The sequence below is a fragment of the Homo sapiens genome, chromosome 4 (assembly GCF_000001405.40).
Source record: "Homo sapiens chromosome 4, GRCh38.p14 Primary Assembly".
Taxonomy (NCBI): domain Eukaryota; kingdom Metazoa; phylum Chordata; class Mammalia; order Primates; family Hominidae; genus Homo; species Homo sapiens.
The window spans coordinates 81,152,584-81,179,943 of record NC_000004.12 but is presented as its reverse complement, the minus strand read 5'-3'; the positions used below and the strand labels follow the sequence as shown (position 1 = coordinate 81,179,943).

The following is a 27,360-nucleotide window of genomic DNA, read 5'->3' as shown; positions in this document are numbered from 1 at the left end:
CTCAAACTCCTGACCTCAGGTGATCCATTTGCCTTCAGCCTCCTAAAGTGCTGGGATTACAAGCATGAGCTACTGCGCCCGGCCTATCCTTGTTAGCTTTCTAGTTAAACATTCTTTGACTGATCTTGTAGGCCTCACTATAAATTATGGCATGCATCCTTAACTTACTAAACTTTTAACATAGATTAGTACTTTTATCAATTGCTGGACCTTAAATTGTGTTAACTCCATTTATTGTTCCCTCCCCTGCAGTTTTGGCTGTTTTCTACATTTATTTCTTACATATTTTACACCGCACAAGGTATTATTATTGCTTTTTAATAAATACAAGCTTTCTTTAATCACCCATAGATTTATATTTTCCATTGCTCTTTCTTCCTTCTAACATCTGCCAGTTTCCATCTGAGATCATATTTCTTCTGTCTGGAGCTCTTCACGGTTACAAGTCTGTTGCCAATGGAAAAACATTTTGAAAATATCTTCTTTTTGCCTTCATTTTTGAAGGTGATTTTCACTGGGTAAAGATATTGAAATAGGCTCTTTGAAGCGCTTTTAAGATATGCTACTGTGTTCTGGCTTCTGTTATTTCTGTTGAAGAGTAAGTTAGTCATTTGAAAGTAATGCCTTTTTTTTCTAGCTGCTTTTTAGAGTTTTCTCATTGTATTTGGTTTTTCAGCAATTTGACTATGGTAGGCCTAGATATGGTTTTCTTTGTATTTATTTTATGCAGAGTTTATAATGCATCTTGTCTGTGCTTGACATTTTTTAATTGATTTAAGCTAACTCTTTTTTCTTTTCTTTTTTTTTTTGTTTGTTTTTGGGACAGAGTCTCACTCTGCTGCCAGGCTGGAGTGCAAGTGGCACAATCTCGGCTCACTGCAACCTCTGCCTCCCGGGTTCAAGCAATTCTCCTGCCTCAGCCTCCAAAGTAGCTGGGACTACAGGCGCCTGCCACCACGACCAGCTATTTTTTGTATTTTTAGTAGAGATGGAGTTTCACCATATTGGCCAGGATGGTCTCTATCTCTTGACTTTGTAATCTGCCCACCTCAGCCTCCCAGAGTACTGAGATTACAGGCGTGAGGCACTGCACTCTGCCTGATTTAAGCTAACTCTTAAATATGATTCCTTCATATATTGTTTCAGCTCAATTATTTCTCTTTCTTCAGGGTCCCAGATTATACGTATGTTCAACTTCTCTATTATGCCTCATATATCTCTTATGTTTTGATTTTTAGTTTTTTGTTTTGCTTTGTTTTGCATCCTAGATTCTCTCCAATCTTCTATAAATATATTCTAGCTGCCTATAATTAGTTTCTAATTATTATCAGCTGCATTTTATCGGATTGCAAACTGATCTTTTGCGTGTCAAGCTTCAGATATTGTGTTTTTCAGTTTTAGAATTTCCATTTGATTTCTTTAAATATTCACGTTTTCTACTGACATCTCCATTTGTCCTGAAAGCATATTGCTTACAGTTAAAGTTGTACCTGATAGCTGCAATATATTGATCTACTATGGTTCTGTTTCTATTGTCTTTTTTTCTCTCTGTCCTTAGTCATTTGGGCTTTTCTCTTAGTATGCCTGGTAACTTCTGATGTCATGACAAATATTTCCTATTTAAAAAACTGTGGAGAAAATTTGAGTGTCTAGATTTTATGAACTTCCAATGGAGAATGCTTACTTTTACTTCTGGCAGGCAGTTAAGCTAGTGGCTGATAGTTGTAACCAAAATAGGGTTTTGTTGGTTTGGTAGCTGGTTTTCAGTGTTTTTGAGAGCTAGCCTATTTTGCTTTGTTCTTACTCCTAGGCTGCAGCCCTTCAGGTGTCCCATCTGAAATCCTGGGTGGTTACCAGGACCCCAGGTAGACACCCAGGATTTCAGATGGGACACCTGAAGGGCTGCAGCCTAGGAGTAAGAACTAAGCATCCTATCATCCCACTTCATGGTGTGCTTTAAACCTGAACTTTTGTCTTTGAGATAGCCAAGACTGTGTTCAGTAGCTGCCTGAAAAGCAGCAACTGCCTTGTAGGAAATGCTGAGGAGACTGTCAGCCTCATGTTCTCTTGTAGATCATGACTCTAAGTTGTTGCTATGTTGATAGATCTTCAATACTTCCAATAGATTATCTATCTATCTAATCAGCTTTTATAGTTGTTTTGTGGGAGCAGGAAGAGTTATGCTGGTAATAGCTGGTCTGTCATAGTTGTAGAAAGAGTTGCAAAGTTTATATTCTTTTTTTTGAGATGGAGTCTTGCTCTGCCACTCAGGCTGGAGTGCAGTGGCGCGAGCTCGGCTCACTACAACTTCCGCCTTCTGGGTTCACGCCATTCTCCTGCCTCAGCCTCCACAGCTGGGACTACAGGCACCCACCACCATGCCCGGCTAATTTTTTTGTATTAGTAGAGACGGGGTTTCACTGTGTTAGCCAGGATGGTCTCGATCTCCTGACCTCGTGATCTGCCCGCCTCGGCCTCCCAAAGTGCTGGGATTACAGGCGTGAGCCACCGCGCCTGGCCGAAACTTACCAGATTTTTAAAATAAGTTGTTTTAAATTTATAATCTACTTTTGAGAAAAATTCATAGAGATAATTTCACTAATTAGAGACTATTACAATATGTCTATACACCAAGTTATAAAAGTTTGGAAACTTTTTGAGGCCATGGGTCATGTTTAATTAATTTTTATGTCCTAAGTAAGTGCTTAATGACATTTTAAAAGCAGAATAGATATGAATATAAGTACTCTAGGAATTCACAGGAGAAAGAAAGGATGGTGTAAACTGCAGCATCCATTTAAAATCATCCAATTTAAAATCATGAGGGGTTTCTTGGTGAATGTATAAGGTTTGGAAAGGTTGAGGGGTAAAAAGTAAGTTAAGTCACAAAAGAAAACATGTTCCATCTCTTAAGGCAAAGATATAGGGGATGATAAGGATACCAGCTTATCTATAATAAAAAATTTGTTTTAGGGAGTAAGTACTAGATGGATAGATTGGAGCCATGTTGTAGAAAATAGTAAATACTGGGTTGTAGGATATTGATTTTTTTTTTCTATGGACAAAAGAGTCTTTTTGAGTACTTCCATGGAATGTTGGATGTTGAATGAATGAAGTTAAACCAAAAAGAAATGAAGAACCAAAAGAAAGAAGTTAAACCAAAAAAGAAAGAAATAAAGAGGACATTGAAGCTCCAGAAATACTGGTTTAAAGAGATTTGTTTACAGCAAGACTTCTTTGAAGTGTGCATTTTAAATTTCCAAAGTTGCTTAAACTTAGCACACTTTTGCTTATAAAGAAACAGTGTTCTTGGAACATACTTTGGAAAATTAGTATATGTGGGCATTGAGGAAACACTGACTGGAATATTATACTAACATATAAAGTCTGCGAAAGCTGGAGCTTCTTGATATTGTTCACAGTTCTACCAGTTGTACTAAGAGAATTACCTAGCAAAGATATGTTCTCAATATATATTAAGTGAGTTGGCTTTAGTGGATAAAAATGAATTGGATGAACATGAAATCCATTTTTAAATTTTTTTTTAGCAAGAATAATCTGATGATATAATACAGTTGGATTTTAGGGAAAATCGGCTAGAAGCTTAAGTCCAAGAAAATAAAATTTTAAAGTTGTCCAGACCTAAGATTTGTTCTTGGACTGTGGTGCCATCCTTGAAAATGGGAAATAAAATGGATAACAGTGATACTTTTTAAAACAAATTGATACGATTTAGTAATAGATTAGATGGAACTTCTCAAGGCACTCAAATAATTTGAATAGCTTTGAGTCACTGTAGGGAAGAAGAAATTTCTTTGTACAAGACTTCATTCTGTTTTCTTCATGTAGCCTAAAGATATGATGGATAGAGTCATGAAAGAATTATTTAATTTCATGAAGTCTTACCTTTTGTTTGAAAACTTTTTGTGTAGAAAAAGATCACCAGCTTCCAAACAGTAATTGGGAGAGAGTTTGAATGAAAGATACAGAAAAAAGTACTTAAAAAATCATGCTGAGTTTTATGATCGAGAGTAAATATATTGTGCAGATCTGACTTAGCCCATAGAGCATCTTTTCTTGCAGCACAATAATTTTATGATATCTACATATGAATAATTTTCATTAAAACATTTTAAATTTATGTTAATGAAGATTGGGTAGCTATCTTGAGCTACATCTTTTCCAAAATAAAGCAGAGCATTATAGGATTATCAGCAAGTAGAACTTGGATTTGAGGAAAGAATGGACTGTGAGATTGGAAATGTCAGTTCTGTCTAGTCCACCCATATCTAGAGTAAAACCTAGTCAAACCTAGACTATCACTGTCACCATCTATGTCTGATCAAACTTACCAAGCCCCAAAGGCTTTCTCCCTTAGAAGCTTTCTCCCTCAGAAGAGACAATGGGATGGAATGGAAGCAGCGCAGACTTCAGATTCACCTACTTAGTTTCAAATCCCATGAAAAATTAGTTGCTTCTTACCTCTTAGTCTACTTCTTCCTAAAATAGGAATAGTAATTATCTCATAATATGATAATGAGGATTAAATAAAATATAAAATAACTACAACTGTAGGCACTATGCATACATGAATACATCAGTGAGTGAAGACTGTATTGTAGTCCCTTAAATACAACTCCTTTGTATCCATGAGATTTGCTTTCCATCTAAAAAATCATGTGTCCATTAGTAGTGCATCTATGGATCTTGAGAAATGCTACATTTGTGGTGATGGCAATTAGGAATGATAATATTGGTGTCATGATGACTATCAGAATAATATTCAAAAACATTTTCTTAGGTTTTTCATGTAAGCTATGGTAGTTATAAGGGTGAAATGTTTGGTGGGGTTAGAAAAAGGTTGTTCTTGCTAGAAAGTTATAAGTTTGTAGATAATATTATTGAGAATCAGAATAAAGTGAATCTAAATAGTAAAACATGATTTTCATTAATTGTAACTAACATCTCTTTTCCATTATACCAGTGAGAAGAAGCTCATTACAGATGCCCTTAATAAAAATCAGTTTCTGAAAAGACTGGATCCTCAGCAGATCAAAGACATGGTGGAATGCATGTATGGGAGAAACTATCAGCAAGGGAGTTACATTATTAAGCAAGGAGAACCAGGAAACCATATCTTTGTGCTGGCAGGTGGGTTTCACAGATTTTTCCAGATATATAATAAATATTTTGCCTGTTATGATTTTCTGCAAACATTTATAAAAACATAAAACTGGTTGCTCTATTTGTAGAAAACATAACATATTGAATCATGAAATAGCAAAATTGTTGATCTAATCATGATGATGGTAATGTTTAATTGATGGTAATATTTAATATGTGCTGAATAATTTCTATATATCAGGCATCCTATTGAGCAGTTGATAGAGAGATCACATTTTATCTTCTCACCAACCCTGTAAGGCAAGTTCTATTTTCTCCATGTTACTAACATGGACTATGTCTCAGAGAGGGTAACGCCACATAGATCATAAGCAGTGGAGGTAAAATGCACACTTAGGCAATTTGACTTAAGAATCTGCACTTCTAATCACAATACCATGTGCTCAAAAAGTGTTTTTATTCAAATACTGCTGCTGAAGTTAACATTTTAAGAAATGCACCAGGAGAAAAGAAAACAATTATTATTGTGGTTCTGGAAGATGTTTTGGTTTTATACCAATGATTTAAAAAGATAATTTAGGTACTTTTGACCAACACACAAATCAAATGACATATCTTACAATTAAAACCGGTGTTTTTAGAATTATTTAAATGGTTTCCTTCATCTGTGGTAATTTGAACATGCTTACAAGTTGGGAAGATTATAATGGTTAGATAGGCAAATGATTTATTTTTGTAATGTATAGATCTTATAATGACTACTCAATTTTTTTCTCTTTTGTATATAGAAGCAAAAAATTATCTAAACAGGGATTAAAGTTATAGAACGTTTTGTCACATTCTGGCACAACTTTTTGAGTTTTAGGGAAAAAAGTTAAAACTGGCTTACCCAGAAGGAGTGATGAATGGAGGAATGCTTTCTATTTGTTGATGTTGTTGACATGTTGTTGACAACAATGATGGTTGTCATTCCTTCATTGGCATTGTAGTTCCTGATAATCTAAGTATTGCTTTTATTCTTGTTCCTTTGGGGCCTTAAGTGTGAGGCAGAAGTTGTCTATCTAAACAAATTAATAAACATGTATTATTCTATTTATAGTATATAAAAGATTGTTTTATATACGTTGATTATTTGAACATGCCAATTTTATGATTATTATTTGCCGTATATATCTTTGTAGGCACCTTTAAAATTATACAGTCATTCCCAAGGAATCATTCTACTTAATTAATGAGTTATAGTCTTAATTTAGCCAGCCTTCAAGTTTTTAGGGACAACTTTTCCCTCTTGCAACTTTTCTCTTAGCCATTTTAACTTCTGCTTTAGCAACACTAGAGTATTGCAGCAAGAGAAGATAGGTCATTAAGTCAACAAATATTTATGAAACCTCCTAGGAGAGGATGAGAAACTGATGTAAGCCTATCTCGTTCCTTCCCAAGTAGTTCTGATGAAAGGCTCAGGGAGAGAAGAGGTTGAACAGAAGTCAGTATCAAAACAGCTATTGAGATCAGAGTTATGGCACACATGGAAATGAAAATTGGATGGTTTCTTATTTGAATTAATTGTAGTGTCACCCAAGGACTGAATTGCCTGGTTTAATTATCTGGTTGAGCAAATTAATTTGATAATTAAAAATATTCCCTTTATGAAACATAGCATGAATAGCAAATAGTAAAAGCATATTTAGCTTTAACTTTTGATATTCCATATAATTCTTCAGCATTGCTCAGGCACAATGAGCCATAACCAATTTCAAGATAAAAACTTGAAATGCATTAAGATTCATGATATCAACTGGACACTACCACTAAGTGGCTTTGATAGAATAGAATTTAGCTAATGAGAAATTTTAAATTGCATGTCTAACCTCTAGGATTTGGAGCCAGAACTGAGTGTTTTTTTTCCTTGCTAGTATAAATTCTATCAGGCTAAGGATATCTTCTCTTTTGTCCTCTCTATGGCTCTGGCACTTGGAACAGTTCCCAGCACAACATAGGTACTCGGATCAGTTTTGCTGAATGAAGGGATGGACAGAGATGATACAGAGCTACTTAGCAGTGAATTAGGAAAAGGAAAGACTAATTCTTTAAGGAAAGGAGATATTACCCCATCACTTTTTTTTCCTCTAAGAACTTAGATCTTTTTTGCTTATGCTTTTAGTTGGTTAAGGTTTTGTTTGTATTTGTTCAAAGCAAAAGAAGAGTAAAGCTGCCAAGGCAAAAAAAGAAAAATAGTGAAGGGGATGCAAACTTCTGCCTCTCCCTTCCTCCAGTCTTTGCCCAGGTAATAAGTGCCAAACACTCTTCTTAGTGATTTTCATTTGTAACTAATATGTATTACATTTAAATAAATTAGAGGTTAGATAACAATTGAGGCACCATGAAGTAACTTGCCCAAGGTCACATAGGCAAAAATGAGTTGAATCAGGACACAGCCAGGCAGTCTGATTCCAGGGCTGATCTACTTACTGGTTATGACGGGTTGTCATTCCATCATTGTGAACAATTTCTCTGTGTTTTTATGACATACAGTGATTGTTGAGCTCCTCATAAAAGAGAAATAGTTTCATGTATTACATTTCTCATAGGTTATAATGAATTTTAAACAAAACACTTGCCATCCACTGCTTCAGGAAAATAACATTGTAAAAATAATAATATTAATAATAGCTAACACACAGCATTTACTATGCACTAGCCATTGTTCTAAATTCCTTACCTAGATTAACTTATTTCATTCTTGCCACTGTAAAATAATAATAATAATTATTATTATCCTCATCGTTGATGAGGAACTTCAGACAGATAGCGTAAGTTTCTCAAGGCAACCCAGCTAATAGTAAGTGGCAGAGGTGATTTCAGTCTACACTTTTAACTGGTGTATTATAATGAGAATCATAAAATATCTTACCTGTATACTTTGTGTGCTTTATGATTGTTTTATTTTACTAATTTATAGTATCTACACGGATTTCGATTATTTGTGTGTGTGTTTTTTAAAATTCTGCTTGATAGAGGGTCGACTAGAGGTGTTCCAAGGGGAGAAATTGCTGTCCTCCATCCCTATGTGGACCACATTTGGGGAGCTTGCCATTTTATACAATTGTACAAGGACTGCCTCTGTGAAAGGTAATAAAAGAGGAAATGCTCCATCTTTGAATTGTTGTGGCATGTTAAAGATAATCTAGTCCAGTCACATTTGCACCCTGATCCACAGTCTGTTTCCCATTTTACCCTATATGTTCTTATAATAGAAATGCTATGCCTATTAAGGGATTTATACTGAAGCACTTACCTATATAATTTAAGCTAAAAAGAACTTTTCTGGATACCTGTGTATAAAATGTAAAATGGCTTTTAACTATTCACAACGGTAAAGACATGGAATCAATCCAAATGACCATCAGTGATAGACTGGGTAAAGAAAATGTGGTATGTATACATTATGGAATGCTACACAGCCATAAAAAGGAACAAGATTATGTCCTTTGCAGGGACATAGATGGAGCTGGAAGCCATTATCCTCAGCAAACTAACACAGGAACAGAAAAGCAAACACTGCATGTTCTTACTTATAAGTGGGCGTTGGACAATGAGAACACATGGACACAGGGAGGGGAACAACACACACTGGAGCCCAATGGGGAGGGGTGGGGGAGGGAGAGCATCAGGATAAATAGCTGATGTATGCGGGGCTAAATACCTAGGTGTTAAGTTGATAGTTGCAGCAAAGCACCACAGCACACGTTTATCTATGAAACAAACCTGCATGTCTTGCATGTGTATCCTGGAAATTAAAATTAAATTAAATTAAAAATAAAAATAAAAATAAAAAGGTTTGTTCTGCCAAAAACAATGGCTTTAAGCTGACTGATTCCATATTTGCTTTAATTGCCACTTTACTTTTTACTACATAGACACATGCCTTTGGCTCATCTAGAATGTTTGCTTTCTAGCTAGTCTCAACGAGGTTCTGACCATATTATAAGCCAGAGAAATTAATTAAACCAATGAAAATGTATCTATATCAAAAGGAATATGAATTAGAGTAATTAGAGTATTCATGAATGACTTTTGGGATTACTTTACTTGCTTTTCTTTAGATTTGTTTTATTGACTTTATGGCAATCTTGGGTTTCCTTCTGAATTACATAGATATGATGTTTTTCAGTGTTTGGGACTAGTTTATATGTGTTAGCCTTGCTGAGGTATTTGATAAAAATGCAGATTTTGGGTCTCTACTCCCAACCTGAATCAGAGTCTCTGGCAATGGAGCCCAGGGATCTTGTATTTCTAACAAGAATATCAAGATGATTCCAATGTAAAGTTTGGTAATCCAGAGCTTTGGGTTTTGATCAATTTTAGAGGCTTTGTTACTCGTTTTTAAAAAATTGTACAACCACAATTTCATCTAGATTTTTTAGAGCCACCACTTCTGGCCCACTTTCTTTTTAAATTTTATACTTGCCCTTAAGTCTTTACTGTAAAAAAAAATTATCTCAAAAACTTTCTTTCATAGTCTCTTTCAAATAATTTGTAGGCATTTTACACAAAAGTAACTGTAGAGATTCTTAAATAATATGTAGCTTCTTTAGCAACAGTGTCAGAACAACATAAAAAGACACATAAAAACACACACATACACACAGATAGCTTTAACTTTCAATTATCTGTTTGTGACTTCACTCTCCAGATTAGCTACAAATTGACTGCCTTTCTCTTGTATTACAGCAGAAATCTAGAGCACATCCTGATGATCTAGTGCATAATTGGGAATTGCAAACTAATTTGAATATCATCCTAACTGTAACATAATTAGAAAGGAAATTTTTTGCTAGTCATTTCCAAATAATAGTGTATTTCAAAGCCAAAATGATTTATAAAATTGCTCACTATTTATTTTTCTGTCTCCTTCATTTGTATGTTTAAATAATACATTTTCCAAGAAGTACCATTTTATAAGAACATATAACAAATCCATCGATTTATATTTTGGAATGTTTTCACAATGTTGTACTAAGTGTTTTATTGTTTTCTTGAATTTTCTAAAGCTATTACCAATGTTAAAACATGGGCACTAGATCGAGAGGTATTCCAGAATATAATGAGGAGGACAGCCCAAGCTAGAGATGAACAATACAGAAACTTCCTCAGAAGGTAAGAATAATACATTGGGAGACAGTGAAGACAGTGGAGTCGCCATATTGTGAATATATTGGTTTTATCAGAATAATTATTCAACTATAGCTACTTCCATTTAAGCATTTTCCACATGACTAAACCAAAGGAACATTGCTTGCAGTAAATGCCAGTACATACCAAAAACTGTATTTAATTTCTATTATCCTTGTATACTCATTTATTTCTCCTGCTAGTTTTTGCCCTTGTATTGATAGAGTGATAGTGCACAGCATAGAAAAATGTGCAAAAAACCTAAATTATTAATTGGGTTGCTCAGTTGGCTTTGAAAGGCATTTGAAATTTGAAAGTGGTTAGCCAAAAGACAAGCTTTCTAAAAGTACTTTGCTTAGAATGGTATTAAAATTAATTAAATTTACTATGCTTATTTGCTTTACCTGAGACTTTCTTATTTGCATAGTCACGCCATCTTCCAAATTACTATTATTTGTAGCAAATTGACTTGCTAAAAATGTTACTATACTTGTCATGATGACAGGGACTTGGAACACACTCATTTTGTGAACTATTCTGTACCTCAACACCTTGGATGAATCAATTTATAAGGAAATAAATGTCTGTGTAAGTGAAAAAAACTAGTCTCACATTAAAACTTTATTTGGAAGTATAAGTTATTTATTTAAACAATTTCTGTATCTTTAATGGGAGTTTTGCAAGTTTCTGAAGCTGCAATACATTCTATAATGAAATGTTATCTATGATATGTAATAATAATATTAATAATAATATATCACATTATTTCCAAAAATAAATTATAAGTTCTTATGGTAATTTTTTCTAGCATGAGAATCCTTCAAAGCTAATGATTTTAGGGCCATATAGTGCTTAGCTTATAGTGTAGGCTCAATAAACATTGAATGAGATTTCTCATCTAGAATCTTACTGATTTGTCCTCCCAGAGACAATAATGTCTCCTGGCAGAGAGCTGCAATAATGACAAGCAGGTTCTCTATCTATATGCCAGCCAATGCATTAGCTATCATATTGTGGGGCCCACTTGAATCTAGGTGATCTCAAAATCCACCAACTGAGCAACATAGGTTAGCATTTAAAGCTGATAAGCCACACTTACGTAAGGGCCAAAAAGAGGTACCTAAAAAAACCAGTGTGCCTGGGTTGTATTTGAATGTCTGAGATAAAACGTGAACTAGGCATAGCAGTTAATTACCTTGGAGTCTAGTATGTTCTTAGTGGAAAAAGCTCGGATAATCTACTAGTGAATATTCATTCTTTCCTTCCCTCCTTTTGTTGTTTCCTTCATTCAACTAATACTTATTAGCAGGCACTAAATATTGTTGATTTAGTGGTTAACAAGATAAACCTGATTCTTGCCTTCAGAGAGGGGAGACAGAGAAAATATTTTTTCTTATATCTCTTTTGCCACCAACCTCCAAAGGTGCTAGGTTTATAACAGTTAATTTTCACTAATGTTATAGATGCCTGTTTGGACCAGAAGTAAAACTTTCATGATAGCCTGTGTTAATAACAAGTTCTGATGACTCTTTTACCATTTCATCTATAGTGAGATATATTAGGGGAATACATTTCTCTTTGTTTCATAATATACAGTATTTTTTTTATTTACATTTTTTATTATGAAGTATGTGATATTCTATGTGATATATAGTACATATGTAAGTTATAAGACATCATAACAAAATGAACACCCGTGAAGCTACTGCCCAACCTAGGGAAGAGAAAGCAGTTGTTGAAGTTCTTATGTATTTCCCCATGTTCTTTCCAGCCTCTTCCTCCTCTTCTCCTTGAGAGTATCTGCGTTCTGAAGTTTAGTGATCATTCCCTTGGTGTTGTTTATAATTTTGCCTGTAGCTTGATTTAGTTATTTTTGAAGTTCATCCATGCCTCTGGCTATCATTAATTTTAAAAGACAGTACAGTATGACTAATAATCAGAGATCATTTCAATGTCAATTCCCATGTTCCCTCCCAACCCCGGATTCAGTCCTTACTTAATTATAAGGATTTAGACAAAAATCTGATTCTCCACTGGAAGCAGAGCTCCTCGCACAAACTAATAAAACAGATATTGAGAAGTAGAGAGGAACAAACTTCCAAATGCGATTCACTGTGAAAACCAACAACAAATGTAAATTTATTTTTACCAAATAGACAAAATGTGATTTTTTTCCCCCTGTCTGGTATCTTACTATTTTCATTTGTTTGCCTGTGGCACATGTCTGTGATTATATATCTATAATTTCCAGTGTATATGAAATTCAGTTATTGATGTGTTTTCAGTTATTTGGACATTTACTTTGGAAGAATCAAAGTGCATTATATTTTTTAAAATGTATGTAAAGATTTTAGAATCTGCATATGTGTATATTTATAGTTTAATTCAGGAAGGTAATTGAAGGTTTCTTTTTAATTTTGAAGTGTATCCTTGCTGAAGAATTTACCTGAAGATAAATTAACCAAGATCATTGACTGCTTGGAAGTGGTAAGAAATTTTGAAGTAAAAAATAAATTTCATTAGAAGATATTAGAATGTACTTATATTATTAACACCATAAATAAATAAAAAGATGTCAGAGCACCAGTCTACAGAGACCAAGAGCCTTTTTCTATGGTGAAAAATCTTAAGCCAACTCATGCTGTGTTAAGGGGTGGAGAAAGGTTTAAACTCTTCAGATGTATAAAAGGAAATTGGATTTGCATGTGTAAAGTGAAATTTGATTTACATATTTTAATCTTTTTAGTATATCTTATAAAACAAACCTGCCTTACTCAAGAAGCATTTGATTTTCTACAATTAACATCACAATCCCCTACAGAGTTTTCATAGTATAAAGGAGTCACTGATGTATAATTAAGAAATGGAGCAGAGAAAGGGTATGTTGGTCCTTTTGGTGGCAAGCCTCTGAGTCAGGCTGTGAAACACTTTCTACTTGAACACTCTAGGCCACAAAAAACACATTTTAAAAACTGTATTTAAGAAGCACTTTATCTATTTTAACATCTAGGGGGAAACGGCATATTGGAATGTGTTCAAAAACTCATTTTAGGCATCACCCAGATGGTTGGTTCTAGTCCAAGACGAGTCAAGTCTTTTCATGAATAATGCTTTTACGACATGTACCTTGGATTCTAACGATATGCATTTTGTGAAAACGTCTTCAGATTTCAGAGAATTAAAATTCAAAGCAAATACGTTCTTTAACTTTTTGGGGGGTCAATTTCATTGAAACCCAGATGGCTTTATGGAATTTAAAGGAGGTAAGGAATAGTAAAGGAGTCACATATAGAATTTAAGCTTTTATAAAGCTGTTCTCAGTGGGAGGAAAAAAAACCCCCAAAACCCTGCAAGGCTGATTGTTGACAGATTCATGCCTCTGTCAATCACAATATACAATGTAACTAATATCTGTCAAGCAGGGAGTAGGGACCATTTTATCCTTAAGTGTAAGTGACACCAGCAGTGTTTCCATTTACAATTCATGCAACCCATCCAGCAGTTTATCAAGGACAGACCATGATGACACAGTGCCTGGCCGTGTGGCCCCAGGGGGTTCAGATATGAAGTCATTTTCAAGAAGATTGCTTAGCCTGCATCTCTGGAGAGTCTCCCATTGTAACATAACCCAGTCACAGATGTTACAAATTAATAATTCATCCTAATTTCTAAGGGTGTTTTTTTTTTTACTTAAAGCTGGAGAGGCCCTAGTTTTTTTTGTTAACCAAGGAAATCTGTTTTTAATATAATACTAATAGAGTAGATTCACCAGAGGGGATTTCTATGTTGACAGCAAATATGAAAATTTAGTATCATTAAAAATAAATGGTAAATTAGACGTATTTATAGCAGCCACAGGCAATTGCTACAGAATATATAGATGGGGGCTCAAATCCAGTAATAATTAACACACAATTCAAATTTGAAAAACTCATCTTTTCAAACACCCTGGAAAGGATTTGCTGTATCTCAGCATTTGCAGACAGCAGCACAGTTTATAAAGGACTCTTTATTCATACCTGGCAAACAAATGTGTCTCTGTGATGTGTGAAAATTCTCAAATGTGAAAGTGATTAACGAGAGTAATGGGATCTATTTAGCGCTAAGAAATGCATGTGATTTACCAGCATAGCTTGGACTAATGACCCATCAACTTGGTCCTGACAACAGCCAATCACTACTGCATCATTTTTGACAGTGTCCAGAGTTCTAGGACCAGCTGTCCCACAAACTGTCCCCATAATCTTTGAAAAAAACAGGCTAAATCTGTCATGCAGTTTAGGAGTTGATTTGGGAGTTTTGCATGTAGCAGGGGGTAAGGAAGGGAGAATCAGAATTTCCCATCACCAAGTAATTGATCTGATGTATTTGTTGAAACTTAGACGGTTGAACTCCTAGAACAAATGGCCCTGATTGTGCAATGTTCCAATGGCATTTCTTGCTTTAGCTTAAATCACTCAGAACATTTATAGAGGCAGCCATTGCCTTTAAGCCTCTTCTTGTGTTCTGATAAGAAAACGAGGGTGGGAATAACACCAACATACTAGAGTTCATTAAGAGTTAACTAATGAGAACTGTAAAGCATGATATAGATTCAGAACGGAGTGTACAGATTAACGACAATGAAAATAATAATATGACTTACGTACCTGGCAGTTATGCAGTATGGAAGGTAAGAGTGGAAGTAGTTTCTGCCCCCACACATGGTGATGAATCCACTAAGCATGAGATTTGACTGTGACATCCTCCTGAACTACAAACATTGTGATTCATCATAAAGTCACCTGTTAGTCACAGTGCTTTGGTATTTGATCCAGTGGCCTTTTGCACTGTGACTCTAACCTGCCATCTTTCACAAAGCTGAGGTGTTTGAGGCTGGGATGAGGGTGTAGTGTGGAGCACCTTTGCCCTTAGTCAGATTGCCTGTGGTGCCGATGAGAAGGCATATTCCCAGGCACCACCCCACACTTACTGAATCGGAAACTCAAGTTGGGGCCCCCAGATCCACACCTAACACTCTAATGGTGGGATTTTTATGCTTATTAAAGTCTAAGAAGCACTGGTTTAGTTATGAATGTTTAGAGTTTGCAACCGTCTGCCTCTTTCTTTGGGAATTTTCCATTTTAATCACTTTTTTCAAGTCTAGTCTTTCTTGTAGTCCTTACCAACACTCGCATAAACCAGGATTTTTTTTTTTCCTGTCATCCTAACGGTTAAATCCAGAGCCATAAGAAAGTTGAAATAATTGTAGATTTCGCTACAGTTTATGAACCATTGAGCTAAAGGTGGGGCAGCCAGGTGTTGTACAAAGTTCACTAGTCCAAAGTCTGGAGATTAGGGCTTGTGGTTCTGCCTCTGTCACTCTACCAGCTGTCAATGAATTGTGGTAGGCTTTAGCATATCATCTCTTCATCTACAAAATAATGGAGTGGTGGGCCATATCTCTATGAGCTCTTTCAACATTTAAATCATAGAATTCTATATGATTGGCTCACCCAAATAGAAATAACTTCTGTTGTTTTTCATTTTGTAGTATCTGGTTCTTTGAAAATAACCAATCAGGTGCTACATGCCCGAATGGCTGACTGGGCCCACCTGATCCAGGTGTGCTTGCCTTAAAACTTCTGAGGTGTTCTAAACTCTTGTACTTGGAAAACAAAGATTAACTAGTAACAACATAAATAACTAACTGTAAACAATTTTTTAACCGACACACTTGGTACATAGTCACATAATGCACAGAGGTGTGTGTGTGTGTGTGTGTGTGTGTGTGTGTGTGTGTGTACTATACATCTGGTTGTATATCATCAGTACTTCCAATACTTCTTTTTAATGAGGATTTCATTTGCTTTTTGCAAGATACTTATAAAGAAGATTTGTAGCTGCAAATTAAAGGCTCTAAGGAAGTCATTGCCTTCCTTCATTTTCTTTGTCCTCTGTCACTTTGGAATTTCCTTCTGGTTTTATATATTGTATTTACAGGTACTCAGGCTCTAGCATTTTGCTAGATTATCACAGAATGAACATTTTGTTTACAGTAAAAATGGGCTACAACTCATTACCAGGTTATGAAACCAATTTAGAGGAACATTTAAAAAATCAGAATAGTAAGTATAAGTATTATTTTGAAAAATGTTTCAATTTTGTATAAATATGTGTACCTGCTCTTGTGTGTGTATTGGGAGTACATGCAGAATGTATTTCTTACTGTTGGTCAGAATTAAAACATGCTTGAAAACCATTGCTCTGCAGGATAGGGTCTATGGCTTCTTGGTCCTCTAAGGGACACCTTTGCAATGTAACCACAAGGACAATAACCACACTATTTGCATTTCTCTTTTTGGTCTCAGTGACCACCCTGGCTTGACTGGTTGCACTCCCCAGTTGGCAAACACTGGGCAGTCTAGCATCACAGTCAGTACTTACCACTATATATTTTTGGTCTGACCTATTTCCACAGCCTTTTCTGATCTATGAAGTTACTGTCAACACACTGGGAGGTATTATTTATCTTCCTCCCATGGTTTTGGGTGACAAAGAATCATCCGTGGAGAAAAATACCACTAGGAAGGTTGTCCCTTAAAAAATAACAAAGGTCTTCCTCAGTATCCCCTTTCAAGCTTTTCCCCCTTTGAAGTTATTCGGTTGTTAGGAATTAAAGCCACACCTCTGCACACATCAAAGGCTTCATAATAACTGAAGAACAGCCTAACAGCACTTCAGAAATTCTCTGTGTTTCTTCTGCTCCATGTGGGTAATGAGGACTGAAATTGTGATGGGAACAGGAGAGCTTGAAGAGCAGACTGTCTGAAATAGGAACTTCGAACACAATCCCCGCAGCTATAGCAAAGAACATTGAATGTTAGCTATGTGGTGAAGACAGCTGGACTGTGTGGGGGATCAGGATCATCCTATAAGGGTCATAGTCATCTCCACTGCAAAATCACACTGCATATAGTCAAGGTTTGTGATAAAGCTAAAATTGGGAAGGGATGAAGGGTTTGAGTAAGCAAACTATGAGGCAAAGACACGCCAAATATCATTGCTTAAATAAAACAGAAGTTTGTCACTCGTTAACATAACTGTCCAGGAAAGATAGTCCCAATTGGCTCCACACAGTCATTTGGGAATCCAAGCTGATGTCTACTCTGCCATTTTCAACATGTGGTTTTCCAGGTTTGTGTGGGCCATGCCATTATAATTGGGGAAAAAGTATAAAGACACATGCATGAAAGCATGCATGGGCTTGGTGTGGAATTGTCACAGATCACTTCCACTCAGATTATTTTAGATAAAAGTTCATCACATGGCCATAGCTAACAGCAGGAAGGCTGGCAAGTGTAACTTACCTGGACAATCATATATTCCTCTGGAAGACTTTCGTGACCAGCTTACAGCCTCTTTCGTAAGATTAACAGTCACCGGGTACCTGGTGTGCACTAAACATTCCATCAGGTACTTTAGATACACCGTCTTAACTAGTCCTCAAACAACATTAGGTGTAGTAGTAAATATAATCTTAATTTTACAGAAAATGAAACAGAGGTCCAGAAGATGTAGGAAACAGCTGAGCAAATCATTATCATCCTCCTTCTTAGCATGGCAACAATTAATTGTGCATTTACTATATTTTAGATGCTCCTACTATTTCAGGCAACATTGCCTTTCATTGGCTTATTGTGGTAGGCAGAATGGTCCCCTGCCCCACCCCCCCTTCCAGATATCCAGATTCTAATCCCTGGAATGTATGAATATGTTATATTACATGGCAAAAGGGACTTTAATGGTATGCTTAAAGTTTGGGACTTTAAAATAGATTATCATTAATTGGCTAGGTGAATGAACTATTGAATATAGTTGCATGAGCATAGAATTATTTCTGGTTGGGGTCAGAGAGATGCAGCAGAAGTGAAATCCAGAGAGACTCTGAGGGTAAGAAATGAACATGCCATCACTGGTTCTGAGATGGAGGGGGCTCTCTGCAGGGATGGGAGAGACCTCATGAGCAGTTCCCACTGTCAGTCAGTAAGGAAATGGGATCTTATCCTGCAGGTGAATCCTTCCAGCAACCTGAATGACCTTGAAAATGAATTTTCCCCTGAGCTTCCAGAATGACATAAGCCCTATTGATACCTTGAGCTCCATCCTGAGAGACCCTAACTGAGAAACCTAATTGAGCAACACTGTGCCTAGGCTTTCTGACTCACGGAAACTGTAAATAATAAAAGGATGTGGCTCTAAGCCACCAAGTTTTTGGTTGTTACAGCAGCAATAGAGAACTAATGCGCTTTCCTAAATCTTTGAAGATATGGGTTGTTACTTTAATTTTATGGGTTGAGGAAAGTAAATTTCTTGTAAACTGGGATTTGAATATAGACCTGTCTGGCTTCAAAGAACTTTTTAACTCCAAAAATATTATGCTTCCTTCCATGAGATATTGACATATCTTATAAAATGTACATAGTGTTATGAAAATAAAACGCATGTTTGTTAGTATTAGGAGTAACATTTATTCCAGAAAAGTAAATAGGTTTTAAGAATAAATGATCAAGAAAGTATTGAAAAACAACAGATAAAAAAGTAGTTTAGTTTGGAATTTATTTTCAAGTCTAAAAGAAAAACAAGAGAGAGCAATTATGTGGTTAGTTATGCCTTTTTAAAAATTAAAGAAGCCACTTTTGTTTGTATAAATAATTAAGAGATCCATCTTAGTTCTGTGACTTTAAGACAAGATCAAATTAAAGCAAAGTAGAGGTGGACAGTTTAATCTATCCTTTGTTTTCTGAGATATTTAGTCGCTCTTTTGGTCTGACAGGTGGATAGATTACTTTTCCCTCCTCAAGAATTTTCTAATCACATAAATATTTACAAGAGAAACAGATGTTAATAAATAAAAAGAAATATGCAATAATTTAAGATTTCATGAGGATAGATCTAAATTAAATAATAGAATTTACACATAAAAATTTCCAATGTCAATGTTTTATGATGACAAATCTTTGGATATTGCATTATGACAGCACTACCTACTGTGAATGTAGAATCTTCCAAGAGGTTGCTTTTCAAGGAATTAGAAATTAAGGGTAATTTTCCTAATATCCATTGGGGATATTATATAATCACTTGTTCTTTTTCTAGAGCCCAGACTCAATTTTTAGAATGTTGCTGATCACCAAACAGTTTATATTTAGATTATGCAGGTGAAAGCTGGTGATTGTTGCCTGGCTCTCATTTCTCTTTATATCTTTGGACCCCATGCCTGAAATTCAGTATTCCAGGTGAATTTACTCTGTGAAAGAAGAAAACATAAGTGCAGATAATAAAGCAAAAGTCTCCTTACTTTTCTACAGTTTATGACTGCAATGTAAGAAAAGCTTACAGTTTCAATAGGCAAAAACAACAACCAAACAAATGCTAAAACAGGTGTGTAATACTCATTTCAAAGACAAAAGGAGTTCTGCTTTCTTTATGTCTTCAATTATGTGTCTCCACTTGATCTTACATTATCTTTTTATTTATTTATTTATTTTTTATTATTATTATACTTTAAGTTTTAGGGTACATGTGCACAATGTGCAGGTCAGTTACATATGTATACATGTGCCATGCTGGTGCGCTGCACCCACTAATTCGTCATCTAGCATTAGGTATATCTCCCAATGCTCTCCCTCCCCCCTCCCCCCACCCCACAATGGTCCCCAGAGTGTGATGTTCCCCTTCCTGTGTCCATGTGTTCTCATTGTTCAATTCCCATCTATGAGTGAGAATATGCGGTGTTTAGTTTTTTGTTCTTGCAATAGTTTACTGAGAATGATGATTTCCAATTTCATCCATGTCCCTACAAAGGACATGAACTCATCATTTTTTATGGCTGCATAGTATTCCATGGTGTATATGTGCCACATTTTCTTAATCCAGTCTATCATTGTTGGACATTTGGGTTGGTTCTAAGTCTTTGCTATTGTGAATAGTGCCACAATAAACATACGTGTGCATGTGTCTTTATAGCAGCATGATTTATAGTCCTTTGGGTATATACACAGTAATAGGATGGCTGGGTCAAATGGTATTTCTAGTTCTAGATCCCTGAGGAATCGCCACACTGACTTCCACAATGGTTGAACTAGTTTACAGTCCCACCAACAGTGTAAAAGTGTTCCTATTTCTCCACATCCTCTCCAGCACCTGTTGTTTCTTGACTTTTTAATGATTGCCATTCTAACTGGTGTGAAATGGTATCTCATTGTGGTTTTGATTTGCATTTCTCTGATGGCCAGTGATGATGAGCATTTTTTCATGTGTCTTTTGGCTGCATAAATGTCTTCTTTTGAGAAGTGTCTGTTCATATCCGTTGCCCACTTTTTGATGGGGTTGTTTTTTTTTCTTGTAAATTTGTTTGAGTTCATTGTAGATTCTGGAAATTAGCCCTGTGTCAGATGAGTAGGTTGCAAAAATTTTCTCCCATTTTGTAGGTTGCCTGTTCACCCTGATGGTAGTTTCTTTTGCTATGCAGAAGCTCTTTAGTTGAATTAGATCCCATTTGTCAATTTTGGCTTTTGTTGCCATTGCTTTTGGTGTTTTAGACATGAAGTCCTTGCCCATGCCTATGTCCCGAATGGTAATGCCTAGGTTTTCTTCTAGGGTTTTTATGGTTTTAGGTCTAACGTTTAAGTCTTTAATCCATCTTGAATTGATTTTTGTATAAGGTGTAAGGAAGGGATTAAGGAAGGGATCCAGTTTCAGCTTTCTACATATGGCTAGCCAGTTTTCCCAGCACCATTTAGTAAATAGGGAATCCTTTCCCCATTGCTTGTTTTTCTCAGGTTTCTCAAAGATCAGATGGTTGTAGATATGTGACGTTATTTCTGAGGGCTCTATTCTGTTCCATTGATCTATATCTCTGTTTTGGTACCAGCACCATGCTGTTTTGGTTACTATAGCCTTGTAGTATAGTTTGAAGTCAGGTAGTGTGATGCCTCCAGCTTTGTTCTTTTGGCTCAGGATTGACTTGGTGATGCGGGCTCTTTTTTGGTTCCATATGAAGTTTAAAGTAGTTTTTTCCAAATCTGTGAAGAAAGTCATTGGTAGCTTGATGGGGATGGCATTGAATCTGCAAATTACCTTGGGCAGTATGGCCATTTTCACGATATTGATTCTTCCTACCCATGAGCATGGAATGTTCCATTTGTTTGTATCCTCTTTTATTTCCTTGAGCAGTGGTTTGTAGTTCTCCTTGAAGGTTTGTAGTTCTCCTTGAAGAGGTCCTTCACATGCCTTGTAAGTTGGATTCCTAGGTATTTTATTCTCTTTGAAGCAATTGTGAATGGGAGTTCACTCATAATTTGGCTCTCTGTTTGTCTGTTGTTGGTGTATAAGAATGCTTGTGATTTTTGTACATTGATTTTGTATCCTGAGACTTTGCTGAAGTTGCTTATCAGCTTAAGGAGATTTTGGGCTGAGACAATGGGGTTTTCTAGATATACAATCATATCGTCTGCAAACAGGGACAATTTGACTTCCTCTTTTCCTAATTGAATACCCTTTATTTCCTTCTCCTGCCTAATTGCCCTGGCCAGAACTTCCAACACTATGTTGAATAGGAGTGGTGAGAGAGGGCATCCGTGTCTTGTGCCAGTTTTCAAAGGGAATGCTTCCAGTTTTTGCCCATTCAGTATGATATTGGCTGTGGGTTTGTCATAGATAGCTCTTATTATTTTGAGATACGTCCCATCAATACCTAATTTATTGAGAGTTTTTAGCGTGAAGCGTTGTTGAATTTTGTCAAAGGCCTTTTCTGCATCTATTGAGATAATCATGTGGTTTTTGTCTTTGGTTCTGTTTATATGCTGGATTACATCTATTGATTTGTGTATATTGAACCAGCCTTGCATCCCAGGGATGAAGCCCAGTTGATCATGTGGATAAGCTTTTTGATGTGCTGCTGGATTCGGTTTGCCAGTATTTTATTGAGGATTTTTGCATCAATGTTCTTCAAGGATATTGGTCTAAAATTCTCTTTTTTGGTTGTGTCTCTGCCCGGCTTTGGTATCAGGATGATGCTGGCCTCATAAAATGAGTTAGGGAGGATTCCCTCTTTTTCTATGGACTGGAATAGTTTCAGAAGGAATGGTACCAGTTCCTCCTTGTACCTCTGGTAGAATTCGGCTGTGAATCCATCTGGTCCTGGACTCTTTTTTGTTGGTAAGCTGTTGATTATTGCCACAATTTCAGCTCCTGTTATTGGTCTATTCAGAGATTCAACTTCTTCCTGGTTTAGTCTTGGGAGAGTGTATGTATTGAGGAATTTATCCATTTCTTCTAGATTTTCTAGTTTATTTGCGTAGAGGTGTTTGTAGTATTCTCTGATGGTAGTTTGTATTTCTGTGGGATCGGTGGTGATATCCCCTTTATCATTTTTTATTGCATCTATTTGATTCTTCTCTCTTTTTTTCTTTATTAATCTTGCTAGTGGTCTATCAATTTTGTTGATCCTTTCAAAAAACCAGCTCCTGGATTCGTTAATTTTTGGAAGGGTTTTTTGTATCTCTATTTCCTTCAGTTCTGCTCTGATTTTAGTTATTTTTTGCCTTCTGCTAGCCTTTGAATGTGTTTGCTCTTGCTTTTCTAGTTCTTTTAATTGTGATGTTAGGGTGTCAATTTTGGATCTTTCCTGCTTTCTCTTGTGGGCATTTAGTGCTATAAATTTCCCTCTACACACTGCTTTGAATGCATCCCAGAGATTCTGGTATGCTGTGTCTTTGTTCTTGTTGGTTTCAAAGAACATCTTTATTTCTGCCTTCATTTCGTTATGTACCCAGTAGTCATTCAGGAGCAGGTTGTTCAGTTTCCATGTAGTTGGCGGTTTTGAGTGAGATTCTTAATCCTGAGTTCTAGTTTGATTGCACTGTGGTCTGAGAGATAGTTTGTTATAATTTCTGTTCTTTTACATTTGCTGAGGAGAGCTTTACTTCCAAGTATGTGGTCAATTTTGGAGTAGGTGTGGCGTGGTGCTGAAAAAAATGTATATTCTGTTGATTTGGGGTGGAGAGTTCTGTAGATGTCTATTAGGTCAGCTTGGTGCAGAGCTGAGTTCAATTCCTGGGTATTCTTGTTGACTTTCTGTCTCGTTGATCTGTCTAATGTTGACGGTGGGGTGTTAAAGTCTCCCATTATTAATGTGTGGGAGTCTAAGTCTCTTTGCAGGTCATTCAGGACTTGCTTTATGAATCTGGGTGCTCCTGTATTGGGTGCATATATATTTAGGATAGTTAGCTCTTCTTGCTGAATTGATCCCTTTACCATTAAATAATGGCCTTCTTTGTCTCTTTTGATCTTTGTCGGTTTAAAGTCTGTTTTATCAGAGACTAGGATTGCAACCCCTGCCTTTTTTTGTTTTCCATTTGCTTGGTAGATCTTCCTCCATCCTTTTATTTTGAGCCTATGTGTGTCTCTGCCTGTGAGATGGGTTTCCTGAATACAGCACACTAATGGGTCTTGACTCTTTATCCAATTTGCCAGTCTGTGTCTTTTAATTGGAGCATTTAGTCCATTTACGTTTAAAGTTAACATTGTTATGTGTGAATTTGATCCTGTCATTATGATGTTAGCTGGTTATTTTGCTCGTTAGTTGATACAGTTTCTTCCTAGTCTCGATGGTCTTTACATTTTGGCATGATTTTGCAGTGGCTGGTACCGGTTGTTCCTTTCCATGTTTAGTGCTTCCTTCAGGAGCTCTTTTAGGGCAGGCCTGGTGGTGATGAAATCTCTCAGCATTTGCTTGTCTGTAAAGGATTTTATTTCTCCTTCACTTATGAAGCTTAGTTTGGCTGGATATGAAATTCTGGGTTGAAAATTCTTTTCTTTAAGAATGTTGAATATTGGCCCCCACTCTCTTCTGGCTTGTAGAGTTTCTGCCGAGAGATCTGCTGTTAGTCTGATGGGCTTCCCTTTGAGGGTAACCCGACCTTTCTCTCTGGCTGCCCTTAACATTTTTTCCTTCATTTCAACTTTGGTGAATCTGACAATTATGTGTCTTGGTGTTGCTCTTCTCGAGGAGTATCTTTGTGGCGTTCTCTGTATTTCCTGAATCTGAATGTTGGCCTGCCTTGCTAGATTGGGGAAGTTCTCCTGGATAATATCCTGCAGAGTGTTTTCCAACTTGGTTCCGTTCTCCCCATCACTTTCAGGTACACCAATCAGACGTAGATTTGGTCTTTTCACATAGTCCCATATTTCTTGGAGGCTTTGCTCGTTTCTTTTTATCTTTTTTCTCTAAACTTCCCTTCTCGCTTCATTTCATTCATTTCATCTTCCATTGCTGATACCCTTTCTTCCAGCTGATCGCATCGGCTCCTGAGGCTTCTGCATTCTTCACGTAGTTCTCGAGCCTTGGTTTTCAGCTCCATCAGCTCCTTTAAGCACTTTTCTGTATTGGTTATCCTAGTTATACATTCTTCTTTTTTTTTTTTTTGAGACGGAGTCTCGCTCTGTCGCCCAGGCTGGAGTGCAGTGGCGGGATCTCGGCTCACTGCAAGCTCCGCCTCCCGGGTTCACGCCATTCTCCTGCCTCAGCCTCCCAAGTAGCTGGGACTACAGGCGCCCGCCACTACGCCCGGCTAATTTTTTTTTTGTATTTTTAGTAGAGACGGGGTTTCACCGTGTTAGCCGGGATGGTCTCGATCTCCTGACCTCGTGATCTGCCCGCCTCGGCCTCCCAAAGTGCTGGGATTACAGGCGTGAGCCACCGCGCCCGGCCTATACATTCTTCTAAATTTTTTTCAAAGTTTTCAACTTCTTTGCCTTTGGTTTAAATGTCCTCCCGTAGCTCAGAGTAATTTGATCGTCTGAAGCCTTCTTCTCGCAGCTCGTCAAAGTCATTCTCCGTCCAGCTTTGTTCTGTTGCTAGTGAGGAACTGCGTTCCTTTGGAGGAGGAGAGGCGCTCTGCTTTTTAGAGTTTCTAGTTTTTCTGCTCTGTTTTTTCCCCATCTTTGTGGTTTTATGTACTTTTGGTCTTTGATGATGGTGATGTACAGATGGGTTTTTGCTGTGGATGTCCTTTCTGTTTGTTAGTTTTCCTTCTAACAGACAGGACCCTCAGCTGCAGGTCTGTTGGAGTACCCTGCCGTGTGAGGTGTCAGTGTGCCCCTGCTGGGGGGTGCCTCCCAGTTAGGCTGCTCGGGGGTCAGGGTCAGGGACCCACTTGAGGAGGCAGTCTGCCCGTTCTCAGATCTCCAGCTGCGTGCTGGGAGAACCACTGCTCTCTTCAAAGCTGTCAGACAGGGACATTTAAATCTGCAGAGGTTACTGCTGTCTTTTTGTTTGTCTGTGCCCTGCCCCCAGAGGTGGAGCCTACAGAGGCAGGCAGGCCTCCTTGAGCTGTGGCGGGCTCCACCCAGTTTGAGCTTCCTGGCTGCTTTGTTTACCTAAGCAAGCCTGGGCAATGGCGGGCGCCCCTCCCCGAGCCTCGCTGCTGCCTTGCAGTTTGATCTCAGACTGCTGTGCTAGCAATCAGCAAGACTCCGTGGGCGTAGGACCCTCCGAGCCAGGTGCGGGGATATAATCTCGTGGTGCGCCGTTTTTTTAAGGCCGTCCCAAAAGCGCGATATTCGGGTGAGAGTGACCCGATTTTCCAGGTGCTGTCCATCACCCCTTTCTTTGACTAGGAAAGGGAACTCCCTGACCCCTTGTGCTTGCTGAGTGAGGCAATGCCTCGCCCTGCTTCGGCTCGCGCACGGTGCGCGCACCCACTGACCTGTGCCCACTGTCTGGCACTCCCTAGTGAGATGAACCCGGTACCTCAGATGGAAATACAGAAATCACCCGTCTTCTGCGCCGCTCACGCTGGGAGCTGTATACTGGAGCTGTTCCTATTAGGCCATCTTGGCTCCACCCGCTCTTACATTTTCTTTCTCTCTCATCCCAACAGGAATACTATGACAAAGGAGATTACATCATTAGAGAGGGCGAGGAAGGAAGTACCTTTTTCATTTTGGCAAAAGGAAAGGTAACTATTAATTAAAACTTACTAAATAAAAAAGATTATTTTAAATCAGTTTGCCATAAACTCAACTATGCTTTGCATTGCAACATAGGTCCTCCACTTTGGACAGATAAAGGAGCTTCTACCAGTAGAGTCCCATGCAATTCTGTTTGAACACTGGCTTTGGAGTGGAGGCCACAGGACCCCCTAAGAAATAATAACTTCTTAGTGATGTTATGTAGGTCACTTGATTTTTTGGGGAGAGACCTAGCTTAATTGTATATGAGATGGCTGGATTATTTATAAGGTCCCTTCTGGCTATGACTATGTGATTCTCAATCATCCCCAGATTCCAAGATCAGTACTAGAATATTTTCTTATCCAATAGATATGACAAGTAGCAGGTGGAGAATGAATTCAGCAATTGAAGACAGTCATGATTAGGTATCAGGCTTATAGAACCAATATGGCTCAGAATTTCAATTGATACAAAACAGCTCAAGTGAATTTAGATGCTGATGCAAAATTTATACTAACATGTACAATAAGTCTTTTTCTTTACCTAGATATTGAATGGATAACATGTTGCCAGTTGTTCCAATGTTGACTCAACAGTATTACTCAGAGATGAAAAGCATTTGTGAAATATTGAAGGGAAGGGCCAATTCTTGAGCACCTGTGTGTATAAACTGTCAGATTTTTACATATGTTATATGGAAGGGTTTACCATCAGGGAGTCAGGCACTGCCATTTGTAAACTGGATTGTGGTTGAACTTTGAATTTGGCCCCAAGTGAAGGAAAAACATGAACAAAATAGTTTCAAACCTCTGAAACTCTTCAACACTAGGAACTACTTCTTGTCATTTTTTCCCAACCTAGACCCCATACTTTGAAATAATTCTTGGTGATAAAAAATTGCATTTTTTATTTTTAAAATTTTAATTCATTGTGACATACATAAATGCCAAACAGAATTTCTATTCAGCCTGAATCAGCACTTGTTACCATGTTGAATTGGAATAACTCTAGCCACAAACAGGGCTTTTTCTGTTTGGCCCTGCTGGGTGGGGGGTTCTTAAGCCT

General features: G+C 37.2%; 1 protein-coding gene and 1 long non-coding RNA gene across 12 annotated transcripts in view, besides 3 other annotated features; one reads left to right on the top strand and one right to left on the bottom strand.

Annotated features, from left to right (window-relative positions):
* PRKG2-AS1 (PRKG2 antisense RNA 1) overlaps positions 1–15,004 on the bottom strand; it is a 28,456-nt gene extending 13,452 nt beyond the window's left edge. Inside the window, exons 1-3 of the long non-coding RNA NR_125908.1 lie at positions 14,946–15,004; positions 6,014–6,185; positions 4,353–4,500 (exon numbers count right to left, since the gene is read on the bottom strand). This is a non-coding gene — a long non-coding RNA (PRKG2 antisense RNA 1). The remainder of the gene's footprint in view (positions 1–4,352; positions 4,501–6,013; positions 6,186–14,945) is intronic.
* The window catches only part of PRKG2 (protein kinase cGMP-dependent 2), a 130,467-nt gene that overhangs the window by 37,893 nt on the left and 65,214 nt on the right, over positions 1–27,360 (top strand). For 7 of the 11 annotated variants that reach the window (XM_017008415.2, XM_017008416.2, XM_047415963.1 and 4 more), the window contains 5 exons: positions 4,985–5,151; positions 8,140–8,253; positions 10,176–10,281; positions 12,720–12,783; positions 26,223–26,300. In XM_017008415.2, coding sequence (XP_016863904.2) covers positions 4,985–5,151; positions 8,140–8,253; positions 10,176–10,281; positions 12,720–12,783; positions 26,223–26,300 — 529 coding nt within the window. Of the gene's footprint in view, positions 1–4,984; positions 5,152–8,139; positions 8,254–10,175; positions 10,282–12,719; positions 12,784–25,786; positions 25,843–26,222; positions 26,301–26,388; positions 26,515–27,360 lie in introns of those variants that run through there. The other 4 variants (NM_001282482.1, NM_001282483.1, NM_001282481.1 and 1 more) reach the window with 2 other exon arrangements.
* Positions 14,634–15,833: an enhancer, noted in NCBI's record as "P300/CBP strongly-dependent group 1 enhancer chr4:82085265-82086464 (GRCh37/hg19 assembly coordinates)". NCBI's record gives its function as "activates an origin of replication core promoter dependent on BRD2, BRD4, P300/CBP, MED14 and CDK7 cofactors, with strong dependence on P300/CBP, by STARR-seq in HCT116 cells {active_cell/tissue: HCT116}" and the evidence as "EXISTENCE:reporter gene assay evidence [ECO:0000049][PMID:35650434]".
* Positions 25,452–25,965: an enhancer, noted in NCBI's record as "H3K27ac-H3K4me1 hESC enhancer chr4:82075133-82075646 (GRCh37/hg19 assembly coordinates)". NCBI's record gives its function as "activates a minimal SCP1, AML or CMV promoter by ChIP-STARR-seq in primed H9 embryonic stem cells {active_cell/tissue: H9 hESC(primed)}" and the evidence as "EXISTENCE:reporter gene assay evidence [ECO:0000049][PMID:30033119]".
* Positions 25,966–26,480: an enhancer, noted in NCBI's record as "H3K27ac-H3K4me1 hESC enhancer chr4:82074618-82075132 (GRCh37/hg19 assembly coordinates)". NCBI's record gives its function as "activates a minimal SCP1, AML or CMV promoter by ChIP-STARR-seq in primed H9 embryonic stem cells {active_cell/tissue: H9 hESC(primed)}" and the evidence as "EXISTENCE:reporter gene assay evidence [ECO:0000049][PMID:30033119]".